Below are 15,789 nucleotides of genomic sequence, written 5' to 3' on the forward strand. Positions count from 1 at the left end.
GATGTATCTCTTTGCTTAAATTTTGAAATCTCTTCTTTCTAATCCATTAAATATATAAGCATATATAATGAATTATAAGTCCTTATTTAATACTCCAATTATTTTAAAAGACAGGGAAAGAGATTTGGGTATATGTGTGTGCATGTTTGTGTGTAAGAAAAGTATTTATACTCAATAGTTTTAGAAGTGGTTTTATGTGATGTCCTACACCATCTTTATTTCAAAATATTTTTTAGAAAAACTCTGGGACTTTAGATTAATTTGCCTGTTTGCTATACTAAATTTGAGCAACAATAAAGTAATTTAAGGAAAATTTTAATAGACCCTTTACCAAGAGAATATTTTTAAAGTCTATGAAACTTTATCTTAAAAGTGTATCATATTGGTGAGGAAAGAATTTATATTTAGAGGAATAGTTGTTTATACAGTCATTGTAACTTTTTTTTTTTTTGAGAAGGAGTCTCGCTCTTTCGCCCAGGCTGGAGTGCAGTGGTGGGATCTCGGCTCACTGCAAGCTCCGCCTCCCGGGTTCACGCCATTCTCCTGCCTCAGCCTTCCAAGTAGCTGGGACTATAGGCGCCCGCCACGGCGCCCAGCTAATTTTTTGTATTTTTAGTAGAGATGGGGTTTCACCGTGTTAGCCAGGATGGTCTCGATCTCCTGACCTCGTGATCCGCCCGCCTCGGCCTCCCAAAGTGCTGGGATTACAGGCGTGAGCCACCGCGCATGGCCTCGTTGTAACTTTTTAATGATAACTTTTGCCTTTTCATTTAGTCAGTCATTCTAAAGGAATCATCATGCTTCACAGAAACAGAAAAAAACTGTTTAAATACCAATTACAACATTCTGTATTTTTAAAACTCAGATTTATAATTGTATATTTATATACATAGGCATATACATAGGCATATACATTAATAAAATTGGATAAGAAGGTGGCATACTTGGTACATGACTCTTCAATATTTATAATTTCTAGGACTGCATTCATGGTCTTCACTACTCTGCTATTTTATGTTAAAACCTTGCTTCAAGGGTTGAAATTTAACATTTATGGGATATTACTTTGGCTTTAAATAGTGATGATCTTGAAATGGCCCAAGGACTAAATGAAAAGTGGAATGTTCACACCACTGACACTCTTGTATTATGAGGGCATCTTATCAGTATGCCTTACTATTATACCCCAGTTTCCTGATTCTCAAGAATGCCTTGAAAGTATGTGCAATATAATCAATAACATCTGTCCCCACCGAACTTACTTTGCAGTTACTCTTTGAGCACATCAAATTCTTCCATTGCCGCTCTTCTCTGTGCCCTTTATCCGCACTTCCCAGCTCACAGCACTGACAACCGGTGAGTCTAGTGATTCTGTCTTCAATGTGATACTTATTAAGTTCTCTAAGGGGATCATTTGGTTGTATTTTGGTTTCATGGAATTATTTCCAAATTAGCATTGTTTTGTTCTTCAACTTAGTTATATTCCTGGCTAAATCTTTTAAGAAAATTATCTCACAAAGTATTAGACCAGAGGATAACTTTGGACACCTGATGACTGACCAGTCTTCCACCATTCTCAGATCTATAGAACTGCTCTAAACCCAAAAGGAGATCAAGTAAAGTTGTCTTTAGGGAAAAAATCATCAGGTAAAGGATAGTTGCCAAGGGAAGTTCAGGATACTTTTTTTGTGCTCTAATTATTTAATTCCAAGAGAAAAGTTTGTCTGATTTAGTGGCAATGTCTGTATGAGTTTCTTTTTTTCCTTTCACATAGATGCCGAGAAATTGTGTATAAATGACATAGACGGGACAAGAAAAGCAAAATACAGCAAAAAACCAGAGACAATTTAGAAGTGGCAGTGAGCGGTAGAACTTCAAACCATGTAGAAGCAGTTAAAAGCTCTGTGTTTTAGGGTACGAGGAACCACCAACACTTAAGTTTCCCTAGATATAGTTTGAGACATAGCAGATCTCTTGCATATGGGGGCAGAGAAGAAAATAGCCCCTATAAGACACCTGAGCCCTGTGCTCAACTGAAGGCATCCCATGTTGTCTCCCCAGAGACAGGTCAAGAGCCCTTTATTGTTTATGGGAGAAGGGTCAGGAGCACTTATCACAGTAACCTAAGCCATCATTTTAAACTACACTACAATGTATAACCAACGACAGAAGAAAGATAGCTGTTTTACAAAAGTAGCCTAATCTGAAGACCACACTCTGATGGTAGGTGCAGCACAAGAATATTGTTAAGTTAATACACTTCTGACATGTGGCCTCATGCCTGTCATTTAGGAAAGATTTTTTGAGTTGTTAAAGCCAATTATTGGCTAGGGTACAGTGGAGAGCCACACTCACATACTGCTGGTCATAGCTATTTGGCTTAGCTATTGTAAACGAAGCCATTTTCCATTGGTGACAAGAATCTTTTTTTTTTTTTTTCGAGATAGAGTCTCGCTCTGTCGCCCAGGCTGAAGTGCAGTGGCGTGATCTCGGGTCACTGCAAGCTCCGCCTCCCGGGTTCATGCCATTCTCCTGCCTCAGCCTCCCATGTAGCTGGGACTACAGGCACCTGCCACCACGCCCAGCTAACTTTTTGTATATTTTAGTAGAGACGGGGTTTCTCCGTATTAGCCAGGATGGTCTCCATCTCCTGACCTTGTGATCCGCCTGCCTCAGCCTCCCAAAGTGCTGGGATTACAGGCGTGAGCCACTGCGCCTGGCCGGTGACAAGAATCTTTATGTAATTTGTTAGTGTCATTTTTTCTGATCTTTATTGATTTTATTTTTAATAGATTTATAGAAATAAATGTATTTGAGTAAGAAGAGGGAAGTTACTGTCTATAAAGCTTTTTAAAATTGAAGTCTCATTTTATCCTTCTTTTTTTTTTTTTGAGACAGAGTCTCACTCTGTTGCCCAGGCTGGAGTGTAGTGGTGCGATCTCAGCTCACTGCAAGCTCCGCCTCCCAGGTTCACGCCATTCTCCTGTCTCAGCCTCCTGAGTAGCTGGGACTACAGGCGCCAGCCACTGCGCCTGGCTAATTTTTTTGTATTTTTAGTAGAGACGGGGTTTCACCGTGTTAGCCAGGATGGTCTCGATCTCCTGACCTCGTGATCCACCCATCTTGGCCTCCCAAAGTGCTGGGATTACAGGCGTGAGCCACTGCGCCTGGGCGATTTTTTTTTGTTTTTTCTTCTGAGATGGAGTCTTCCTCTGTTGCCCAGGCTGCAGTGCAGTGGTGTGATCTCAGCTCACTGCAACCTCCATCTCCTGGGTTCAAGTGATTCTCCTCCCTCAGCCTCCCGAGTAGCTGGGATTCCAGGCATGTGCCACCAGGCCTGGCTAACTTTTGTCTTTTTAGTAGAGATGGGGTTTCATCATGTTGGCCAGGCTCATCTCGAACTCCTGACCTCAGGTGATCCACCTGCCTTGGCCTCCCAAAGTGCTGGGATTACAGGTGTGAGCCACTGTGCCCAGCCTATTTTTCTTTTATGAGATCTTAAAATATGAAAACTTTTTTGTTTTTACATTCTAAAATAGAAATCTTAAAGTTTAAAAAACTGTTTGAGAACCCCAAAGAAAAATATTGCCATACCCACATAGATGTTTGATGTACTGTGTTTCAAGGACGTGTGTATATGTATGTGCAAGTATGTATGTGTAGAAGAACTTTGCTGTCTGAGAAGAATTGACATCCTGTCTTCCCCCTTCTTCCCTATCAATCCTTAAGGAAAAAGAAAAAAAAATCTGAGAAGATAAAAACAGATGCCTATGTTGAGTAGAAAGGGATTTTTGAGAGTGATTGATTTTATAAGTGGTCAGTTTGATAGTAAATATTTTCATATTATGATACTTTTTACCTCCCTGTAAAACCTCTTCACTGTGAAGACTAAAGTAAAGAATTATTGGGTCAAAGGTCAGTTATATAAAATTTTTAAAAGATAATTTCTCCATTACTTTTTAATAGAATCTTATCTGCCTTTAAGATTTCTGTTCATTTGAAGATATTACTTGAGCTTCTGTCCTGTCTTAGCTTATAGGCAACAGCAGATTGCAGAGCTCATATTGTCACAGTTGTTTGTTACCCACTCTCTGTCTTTTTTGTGAACAGGTATCATCTCCAGGCTCTCCGGCACCTCTATGTGCTGGCCGCGGAGCCCAGGCTTCTAGTGCCTGTGGATGTGGACACAAACACGCCCTGCTATGCCCTCTTAGAAGTTACCTACAAGGTATCTCTCCCTATCATTTACTTGTAATTTTATTACCACTCATCCGTCTTTGCAGGTCATAATATTTCAAATGTGTTGTCCAGTAAAAGGTGATAAGTAATGAATTGAACTTTCATAAAAATGGAAGCTTCCAAAGTTATTGTATATCCTGCCAGGCCATTCATGCTCATTTATATGATCTGGGTATCACTTTTTAGGGATCATCAGCTACTCTTTTGTCCTTAGAGCTTATAATTTGAAAATGTCCCTGTTAACTTTATGTGACTGACAGTAGTGTTTTGTATAACTGATTGAGTTAGACCCATTCTTAGATTTGTTAGCTGAAACTTGAAAACCCAAAATTGTGTATTTGATGACAGCTTTCATTTAGATGCATAGATTACAAGTTTTATATCCTCCTTTCATTCAGCAAATTATTAAGTACCTTCTGTGACTCAAAACCGTGCTAGGCTCTGGGGTACAAAATGAGATGACATTGTCATTTTCCTTAAGGAACTTCTATCCCCTGGGGAGCCAGGCATGGATACAATGGGAATAGAGGGTGATAATTGGAGATGTCTGTGGAATGCAGGGGAAGCAGAGAAGCACCCTCGCTTAGCTGTTAGTTATGGGGTTGAGGCTGTCAACAGTGGACAGTGTTTGGACTAGGCCTGGCCCACTGAGTGGAGCTCCTTCCCAGCGGAGAAGGCAATGTGCAGAAACCCAGCAGCATTGGAGCACGGCCTTTGGTGCTGCTGGCCTGTGAGGAGCAAGGCTTGAAGTGATGGGAAGGACACATACCCTGTGAGGAATTTAGACATCAGTCCTTTAAGATTTGAGTACCAGAGAGGATTTTATGCCATTTAAAGGTCTCTGTATGAACTGCGGGGATAGGGGGAGGTATAGCGTGGAGATGTTTCTTCTTTGTTGTTTCCACTGACTACCTAGTGAATTGTGGCTGGACTTTTACATTTGTAAAGGGCACTCAGTGGTATGAACAAACCAAAGAAGAATTGATGGCTCCTACCCTTCTTCCAGAACTCCATCTTTTAAAGCAGGTAAGCTGGGTGTGTTCGGGAGTTGGGTCCAAGGGGTCAATTCAACAGAATGGCATAGCGTTAAAGATAGCTAAATAAAAGCCTCTGCTTTCTTCATGTATTGTAGCAGATAAGAAAGCTGCAGCAGGAGGAAAAGTCAGAAAGAATAGAGCAAGTCTTTTCTTAGAGATCTTTATTGATAGCTTAGGTGGCCTCAGAACATGATTTACATTCATTTTTTGTCTGGAAATGGAGCTTGTTACCTTCCAGATGCCTCTTTCTGGCTGTTATTGTTTCCTCTGAGAAACATAGGTTTCAGTTTGTCAGATGAGCATATTTTTCAGCTTTGGGTTGACTATGTTTACGTTTATCTTGACAGATTAAAGTAAAAGGCCCAAGATACTGGGAACTGCTCATAGATTTAAGCAAAGGAACACAACACTTGAAGTAAGTACATTAAATTTCTCAAATTTACCTTTTAGGAAGTGAATAGAAGTATATAAGAAGGTATAAATTATAGATTATTATCTGGAATGTGACTCATCACCCTTTAATCTCATTCAAGACTATATGTAGGGTATGTCTTCTGTAAAACAGTCTGTATCTTTGAAACAAGACTTGTGTTAGAAAATGAAAGTTTTAATTTCAAACTCCAACCCTAAATATTTATTTATTGAGAAACTTGCACTGACTTCCTTGTGACAGTAATGGACTTATCTCTTGGTATATTAACATAAGATTTAGTTTAAGAAAGTGTATTAGTCCATTTTCACACTGCTATAAAGAACTACCTGAGACTGGGTAATTTCTAAAGAAAAGGGATTTAATTGACTCACAGTTCTGCCTGGCTGGGGAGGCCTCAGGAAACTTACAGTCATGGCAGAAGGCAAAGGGGAAGCAAGGCATGTCTTGTATGGCAGCAAGAGAGAGAGAGAGAGGTGCAACACTTTTAAACCATCAGATCTCATGAGAACTCACTCACTATCATGAGAACAGCATGAGGGAAATCTGCCCCCATGATCCAATCACCCCCAACCAGGTCCCTCTCCTGACATGTGGGGATTACAGTTTGACATGAGATTTGGGTGGGGACACAGAGCCTAACCATGTCAGAAAGTAAAGCTGATTTGTACACGCACAAAAGAACTTTATTAATCAGTGTTTATCAGACCACATCTTTTGTTGCATCTCTTTACCATTCTTTTGCTAGAAAGTTCTCCTAAATTTAAGATTATTGTAGATAATATATACTACTCAGCCAGTTTATTTTGGGTGGAAATAATCACGTGCAGTTATTTTAGAGTGTTGATACATTTATACCTAAAGTAGCATGTCAGTTAAGCCTTTAAATTTCAAGGAAGTTTAACAAGCATGTAAAAGTTTTTATAGTTTGGTCCCAATGTGAATTTTTCCAGACTGTATATTAGCTGTTTTCTGTATTGTTCTGTCCTTAGATTTGCAGCATTATTTTCTTCTTGCTGCAAACCAATTAATAGATATTTAGTACCTCATGTACCCTAGGCATAGAGCTAGGGGATATAGGGAATACAAAGAAATGTTAGACAAAATGTTATCTTCGAAGCTCATAATTGAGCCAATAGTCAAAGTGCCTCCTCATTTAACAAGTTCCATGAATCTAGACACCAAAGAAAAACAGAACTTTATTCTAGGCTTTCTCATAGGGACTGATTTAATCTTAGACACAGTAAATAATCATTTACCTTAGTGGAAAATGGTAAAAGCTTCATCTCCTGTGAACATGGTATTGGGAAAACACTGTTTCCAGCCAAGAACTGCCAGTAATACCTTATATTAAATTCATTCTTTTTCTTTCAGGTCCATCCTTTCCAAGGATGGGGTTTTATATGTTAAACTCCGGGCGGGTCAGCTCTCCTACAAAGAAGATCCAATGGGATGGCAAAGTTTGTTGGCTCAGACTGTTGCTAACAGGAACTCTGAAGCCCGGGCTTTCAAGGTAGTATTATTGATTGGTAAAAACGGAAAGAAATAATTCTAAATTGCTGGCTTCCTCGCCCATTGCTATAAACTTCAAAGGTGGATCTGCTTCCTTTTTCATTGTTGCAGATTGTAAAGACTGACTGTGGCTCTGTTTGCTTTTTATGTGATAAAATAAATAATAAAATATAATGAATATAAAATACTGTATATAATAAGTAATATATATATAATAAAGTAAAATACTGTAAGTTAATGTTTACATTTAGCAGCAAGGACAGTCACACCATATCTTGACACTGTAACAAATAGTGATTTTATTATTGATCTTCAAATCGGTGAAGATTTACTTAATTTCATAGCAAAAATAGAAAACGAGTTTTGCAAGCTAGCAATTATTAACTCCATTTAAAAACCACCATTTGTTTCCTTAATCTCGGTGAGGATAAACTGATGACAGATTCAGACTTCTTTTATTAGTTTGCTTTATTATTTGCACAGTACTTGACTGCCAGTGCAGTAGTGTTTGAAATAAGGAAATAGTTACGATAAATGAGGGTAGGAAGCAATCTCATTCCCTTGGCGGGGTCAGCACATATTTTGCTCTATATTCTTGACTCAGATAAGTTTCCAACACAAGAAATTTGTCCCATAATCAGGCATTAAGACTTCTGAATTTAACTTCAGTTTCCTGTAATTCCATGAGCAACTGTGTCCCTGCTGGTGATACAAAGTAGAGTAGTCTAAAGTAGTTAGGACCCTAAGGAATAATTAGACGGCAAAAGTGGGGCAGGCAGACTGGATGAGTGGCAGCCAGAGGACTGAGTTAGCATCCTTTGTTCTTCCAAGTACGGAGACAGCAGTTTATTTTAATTCAACTCATATTTCATTTTAGTCAGTTACTTATGACCGAGCCTTTATAATGGTTCCCAGGATTGAAATGTATAAATAGTTCCCAGGGTTGACATTGGTGAATTTTGTTTGGCAGTATTCAGTAAGTTGTTTATGAAATACTTTTGAAAGATTTTTGGACACAGTTTAACTTAAATTTGTAGTATTGCTTCTTCTAAAAATTAGAGCATATTCCAAAGACTCTAACCCAATTTGTGAAGAAAATAGATAAGTTTAGACTTGAGTTTGAACGAAGAAAGTATATAAAAATTAAAAGCTATTTCTATTTCCTGCCTACTGGAGTTCAGAAATAAAATATAAACCTCAGTGGAAAATAGTAATACCTTCATATTTCATTTTCAATCTTGAACCTTGAGTGATACTGTTTTTTTCCCAAGTTTAAAAAGTTGTGGTAAAATGCACACAATTTATTGTCTTAACCATTGCAAGTTACAGCTCAGTAATACTAAGTGCATTCACATTGTTGCGCAACCATCACCACCATCCATCTCTAGAACTGTTGCATCTTGCAGACCTGAGATCTATACCTGCAACAATAACGCACAACCATCACCACCATCCATCTCTAGAACTGTTGCATCTTGCAGACCTGAGATCTATACCTGCAACAATAACGCACAACCATCACCACCATCCATCTCTAGAACTGTTGCATCTTGCAGACCTGAGATCTATACCTGCAACAATAACGCACAACCATCACCACCATCCATCTCTAGAACTGTTGCATCTTGCAGACCTGAGATCTATACCTGCAACAATAACGCACAACCATCACCACCATCCATCTCTAGAACTGTTGCATCTTGCAGACCTGAGATCTATACCTGCAACAATAACGCACAACCATCACCACCATCCATCTCTAGAACTGTTGCATCTTGCAGACCTGAGATCTATACCTGCAACAATAACGCACAACCATCACCACCATCCATCTCTAGAACTGTTGCATCTTGCAGACCTGAGATCTATACCTGCAACAATAACGCACAACCATCACCACCATCCATCTCTAGAACTGTTGCATCTTGCAGACCTGAGATCTATACCTGCAACAATAACCCCTCATTCTACTTCCCCTAGTCCCTGGCAACCACCGTTCTATTTTATGTCTCTGTGATTTTGATTATACTAAGTACCTCATTTATGTGGTTTCATACACTGTTTATCTTTTTGTGGCTGGCTTGAGTGATATTCTTTTTTCCTTACCTTTTCAGTAACAATTCTAGTTTCTGGTAGGCTTTTTAATTAGTCAGTGAAGGAGGGAAAAGCCTTTTTTGGATGAGTTGTGTAAACAGGAAGACCTGTTTGTTATTGGCCTTTTGATAAATTAGCAGCTCATGTTAACTTGTGCAAAAGCTTCTTGTAACTTCTTAGCAGAACAGGTTGATGAGGCAAGTTTGCATCATCTGGGATTTTTTGGGAATGTTGGGTGACAAAGGGGAGGTAGAGTTGTTAGAACTGTGTGTATTACAGTTTAAGCGTAAGGAAAATAATCTTTTGTTGTCTTATACTGTTGTGGTTGTTTGTTTTTTTAGCCAGAAACAATCTCAGCATTCACTTCTGATCCAGCACTTCTGTCATTTGCTGAATATTTCTGCAAGCCAACTGTGAACATGGGTCAGGTATATATTCTATGGTTTGCCGAGCCCCAGGACTAGAATTTGTTATTATTTCTATGCATGGGTCACCCAAAACATCTCTACTATCTATATCTATCTTTGAGATTGATGACATGCGTCAGTCACATTGGATGACTTTTGCTTGGCACGTATAGATTTGCATAGCCTAAAACTATTAAATTCAGCAACTTTCTACCTTGATAGAAGAAACAACTTAAAATTTATAAGACATCAGTTTTGACAGATGATAGTTTCTGTCATCTACAAGAATGATACCCATCCATATTCTGCTTTATGTTTTCAGTGTTTACCACCTTTCTCTTATTTTTATGTAATTTCATTAACTGTTTCCTCTGTATATTATAACCCTTCTTTTTATTGTTCATACACCTGTTACCTTCAAGATTCCAAGGGTGCTGAGCAGATTTTTCTTTATTTTTTTGTTTTTTGCTTTTTGAGACAGGGTCGGTTTTTTCTGTTGCCCAGGCTGGAGTGCAGTGACGTGATCATGGCTCACTGCATCCTTGACCTCCCGGAGTGAAGCCATCCTTCCACCTCAGCCTCCTGAGTAGCTGGGACTACAGGCATGTAGCCACCATGCCTGGCTACTTTTTTAAAAAAATTTTTTGTAGAGATGGAGTCTCACTATATTGCCCAGGCTGGTCTTGAACTTCTGGGCTCAAATGATCCTCCCACCTTGGACTCCCAAAGTGCTGGGATTATAGGCATGAGCCACTGTGCCTGGCCCAGATCTTTGACTTAATCCACCATAGAGACAAGGAAAGATTGGATGCATATATGGCCTTCAGAAAATTTCTCAACCTCTCCAAAATGTAGTTTCCTCATTTCTAAAAGTGATTATAATAGAACCTACCTTACAGTATTGTTTTGAGGATTAAGTGAAATAACCTTCCCCTCTCTTTTTTATTGAATCTTTACTATACATGGGACACTCTGCTAATACTTAAATGTCATTTAATTATGACCCTGAGAATAGGTATTTTATCATTCTGGGCTTACAGATGAGGAAACTGCCACTGAGAGATGTCACATGCCCAAGATCTCACAGCTAGTAAGAGCTGGGCTGTGCACTCCAGGTCACGGGTCTCTAATAAAGCCCATGCCCACCCTTAACCCCAGCTGGACTTGACTCTGCCACCTCCCCTAAACTTGTTCTGGTCAGTGTTTTTTTTCTTGCAGCTTTGTTACTCGGTTTCCTTTCTGGATCCTACTCTTCCCAGCCCAACCCAAGGCATAGCTCTGTGATGTCCTATCTACTCATTTTGTCCTAGTTTGGTCCATTCCTCTCTTCTGTAGCACTTACTATCCTTAACTGTCTCTTGGGACTTAATTTTTTTTTTTTTATTAATGTTTAATGTTACATGTGCTGTGGCTTTTTTAAAAGATTGTAGTGTTACTTTTATGTCATTCATTATAAAACTTAAGAATGGGCCATAGTAGTGCTATACAATTTGTTTTTGAATTGATTTTGGAATATACTTTGTGCTACAAAACTTCTGATTTTCTGCAGAAACAGGAAATTCTGGATCTCTTTTCTTCAGTACTCTATGAATGTGTTACCCAGGAGACCTCAGAGATGTTGCCTGCATACATAGCAATGGATCAGGTATGGATCCAAAAACCTATACCAATTCTGGTGAAATTTGTCCTGTAGTTCAAGTAACTCACTGAATAGTGTGGTAAGGTTCCTAGTGTCCTTCCTTTTAGTTTCCCATTTGCTTTTGGAAATTTAAGAAAGGAAACCATATAAAATTTGAAAGCTCTCAAAAATCCAAAAAGCTTGGGCTTTATGTTGACAGGAGTGCCCCTTGGGGGGCTGTCTTCCTTTAAGGGTTCCCATTCCTCCCTTTTGTCTCCCCTGACTAGGAGAGGAGGGGAGCACTCCCTTCCTCTCTCCCATCTTATTTTTGCCTCCCTCCTGGCAATGCCTCTTTGTAGAAGTCTGCATGTGAGCCGTTAGTGAACAGAACCCTAGCGATGGCAGTACTGTGAAATTAGACCTATGTGATGAAGCTTGCAAGAGGTTACAGAGTCCATATGCAGTTATCTAGGCATTGGAGTTCATTTTTAAATTTCTCTTGTTATTGCTATTTTAAAAGAGCCTAAAGGGGTAATGCAGAAAATAATGCTTAATAATGTTCTTAAAGGATCAGACCAATTTATTCACTTTAGGCAAATTAGTAATACATACACCTTTTCAGTATTATCATATCTTTCAGACCCAGATTTGGAGCTAAGCCAAGCCAGTAGTTTTCTAACCTGGCAGAAATTTGCCTTGGTATCTTAAAAATACAGATCCTTTAATTCCATGTCTCATCTATTGAATCAGAATTTCTGGGGTGAGATCCAGAATCTAGTTTTAAACAGCTCTTTAAGTGAATATAGTAAGTTCACAGCTGAGCATCTGAGACTCAGTGTCTAAGAGAAATAACCTTTAATGATAAAAATAATTTGCTAAAAAGCTGAATGGAAAAATATATTTAGCCAGAGGATAATTCCCCCAAACCAGAAAACACACAGTGTTAAGTAACATCATTAAAAACCAAGTTCCAATATAACTAAGTAGGCCCAGAATGCCATTATTGTCTGGAATCCACCCTTTTTTGGTTGGAAAGTATGGATATATGGTATCCACGCTGGCACTGCTTCTCACAGTGCCTCTTTGTATAGCAGCCAAATAACAAGTTGTGTTATTTGCTGGATGAGAATGTTGCTGGCTGAGAATGTGTCTTTTTACTCTCTGAACCCTCACACCTTTACAGTCATGGGTGGCAGGTCTTTATGCATGAATATCTTCTCTGGTTGCAGCTGTAGTGACTTGCAGATGGATCTCAAGGGCAGTATTATTAGTAGTGTTCTTCTTGCCCTCTACCCCCTGGGATCTCTGCCATGTCATTGTACCCAGCTTGAGTTTCCCAGAGGTGACTGGCTATGACCTTTTGGGTCTTGGTTATTCGGAGCTGTTGAGCCAAGAATGAGCTCATTCACCTTTGTTACTTTTCCCTGCAAGCTCCTCATGTAGGGCCATATTGAAGGAGGTGAGCCATTCACCTGTACCCAGTGACGGCGCCTCTGTGGGCAGACTGCATCAAAACACAGAATGGACCACCCCCCGACCCTTTATAATTCGGAGCCACATTTAAAAAATACTCAGTCTACAACTCTGATGAAGAGACAGAGCACTCTTTGATTAAATAGATTGTTGTCCTCTTTCCTCTTCAAGGCTATAAGAAGACTTGGGAGAAGAGAAATGTCTGAGACTTCTGAACTTTGGCAGATAAAGTTGGTGTTAGAGTTTTTCAGCTCCCGAAGCCATCAGGAGCGGCTGCAGAACCACCCTAAGCGGGGGCTCTTTATGAACTCGGAATTCCTCCCTGTTGTGAAGTGCACCATTGATAATACCCTGGACCAGTGGCTACAAGGTAATAGTAGCATTGTAGCATAGCGCTCTTGTGCTTTTGAGATACATTCGGTTCAGGCTTTTCTGTTGTAACTTTGTTTTTTCATTGGTAAGCAAGATAAATCTGAGTATAAGCAAGAATGGCTATAGATTTAACGTTTCCAGCTAGATGAATTAGACTTTGATTATCTACTTTAGCTTCTTTAGTAAAATACATCTGACCCAGGCAGATAATATTTATAGCATTTTAAATACCACTTGGTGCTCAGGACCTTGTTCTCTCTTCCCTAGCATCAGATCACATTTCCTTTCCAGTGCCTCTGTCTCCTGTTTCCTAGGGGTGTGGCCTGTTGCCTTCCTGAGGCCAGCAGCCATCCTGTTTTTGTACTGGCACCACATGTACATGTAGAAGTTGACGTGTGCTTGCTGAGTGAGCTTGTTGTACCAACTCAGTTTTGAAAACCTGGGACCGCACAGCTATGTGATGTCACAGTGGTGGCTTTCTATCAGCAGGATTTGTGATTGCAAGGAAATTGTAGTTACTCGTTAACAGTGTAGAAGTGATTCTGACTTACATGAGGCAAGCGATGGGGCCTTTAGATTTATGGAAATGTGTCTGTGTGTTAAATACACCTGAAACTGATTTTCAGGAGTAGACTCCTTGATCTTTTCATTCTTTTTAGTTCATTCAAATGCTCCCAGTAAATATCTGACAGTTGCTTGCTTTGGGTTAATACTAACCTTAGTAATAGTAGTAGAAACAATTCTTGCTTTGATTAGTGAAAACTATTAGTAATCAATAGACCCTAAGCGTTTGAATATAATTCAGTTTAAAACTATCCACCTGTAACACTAGGAAATAAATTTCTGAAAAAAATTAAATTGTAAACCAAGTTGTGAGGGATATACTTGGAAAGCCTGATTGCAGACTCTCCATGTTTATATTTAAAAGCTGCATTGTATTTGTCATTTCCTGTTCAGATTCAAAGATCATATAACTTCATAATTTTTTGGATAGTCATTTTTATCCTCATTTTTGGGGAAAAACATGTTATTTCAAAGGTTTTCGTGTTTCGTTTTTATTCAATTTAACATTTGATCACCTATGGCAGACCTTTGCTATTGATAATAAATACTTCCTTAAATCTTTGCAGATTCCCTGATTTGCACATTTCATATAATGTATGGAACTTTGGCAGTGATTAGAACATTCTCTAAAACAGGGCCCTGATTGCCTTGTTGCTCTTTAGCGCATTTGGTGGTTTCCAGCATTGCTGTCAGCCTCCATTGAATTTGACTTGCCACACAGATTTATCAAAAATGTGTTTATTTTTTAGTGAAAAACTAGAATTTTTTTTTAAAACAAAACCTCTTAAATATATAGTCTCCTCTCTTACAAGCACTAGCAGTTGGCATTGGGGTAGAGAACAATAAATTAACTGAAAATTGGAAATTGCATTCATATTTGTGTGTAAAAATCACAGATGCATATGTGGACTTTCAGGATCACTCACTAACAACTCATTAGATCTGAGATAACCCATTGAATCACTACACTAATCTGAAAATGCAGCCAATTTATATTATATAAATGTCGGTTTTGTTTTTTCTTTTTTTGAGACAGAGTCTCGCTCTGTCACCAGGGTGGAGTGCAGTGGCGCGATCTCAGCTCACTGCAACCTCCACCTCCTGGGTTCAAGCAAGTGTCCTGCCTCAGCCTCCTGAGTAGCTGGGATTACAGGTGCATGCCACCACACCCAGCTAATTTTTGTACTTTTAGTTGAGACGGGGTTTCACCATGTTGTTCAGTCTGGTCTCGAACTCCTGACCTCATGATCTACGTGCCTTGGCCTCCCAAAGTGCTGGGATTACAGGCGTGAGCCATGGCGCCTGGCCTATATAAATGTTTTGTACAGTATTTATCTCCTCAAATTATAATTTTGGGCAAAGAAAGCGGGTTTCAAGTTTAAGAACTTTAAAAAGTTTTATTAACTTTTTCATATTTTGTTATGGAAATTTAAAGAATATACAAAGTAAGTAGACTAGTGTAATAAACCACAACACCAATTTTAATAGTTGCCAGCATTCTCCTATTTTTGCGTCATTTGTACCTTCACCCATTGCCACACTCAATTTTCCAAATTGTGCCATTTTACTTTCCCACCAGCAGTGGATTGCAATGCAATTTTTGGCATTGTCCTTTTTTTTTTTTTTTTTTTTTAAGACTTGTCAAGTGCAGTAGGAAAGCAAAGTAAACCCAAAGCAAGCAAATAAAAGCAGAAACCAATGAAACCAAAAACAGATAAGCAATAGAGAAAATCAGTGAAACAAAATGCTGGTAGACATGAGAAAGTCATTGAAGAGAGGCTGAACCACCATGCTCTCCTTCATGATGAGCTGTTCAAAGAAGAATCTCATCTGTTCTCCCTTAACCTTTCTCCCTCTGCTGCCTCCCCCAAACCTAAATGTTTCCACCTCCCAGTAGACTGACATCCTCACAACTGTGTTCAGTGGAGTCTACAGTTTTCATCTCACTCCATCTCTACAATGGTGAGGCTTTTAGCTACATTTTCCTTCTTGAAATGAGCCTCCCTTGACTTTGTCATAGCACACTTTCCCAATTTTTAAAAA

The 15,789-nt window shown here is 39.1% G+C and overlaps 1 pseudogene across 1 annotated transcript in view; it reads left to right on the plus strand.

Annotated features, from left to right (window-relative positions):
* Nucleotides 1-15,789, plus strand: part of LOC102724642 (anaphase-promoting complex subunit 1-like) — a 71,644-nt pseudogene that overhangs the window by 50,663 nt on the left and 5,192 nt on the right. The window contains exons 22-29 of the transcript NR_171620.1: nt 1,270-1,356; nt 4,111-4,228; nt 5,188-5,265; nt 5,624-5,691; nt 7,081-7,219; nt 9,654-9,740; nt 11,269-11,364; nt 12,982-13,180. The product of NR_171620.1 is annotated as an anaphase-promoting complex subunit 1-like (transcript). The remainder of the gene's footprint in view (nt 1-1,269; nt 1,357-4,110; nt 4,229-5,187; nt 5,266-5,623; nt 5,692-7,080; nt 7,220-9,653; nt 9,741-11,268; nt 11,365-12,981; nt 13,181-15,789) is intronic.

The sequence above is a fragment of the Homo sapiens genome, chromosome 2 (genome assembly GCF_000001405.40).
Source record: "Homo sapiens chromosome 2, GRCh38.p14 Primary Assembly".
In the NCBI taxonomy this organism is placed as follows: Eukaryota; Metazoa; Chordata; class Mammalia; order Primates; family Hominidae; genus Homo; species Homo sapiens.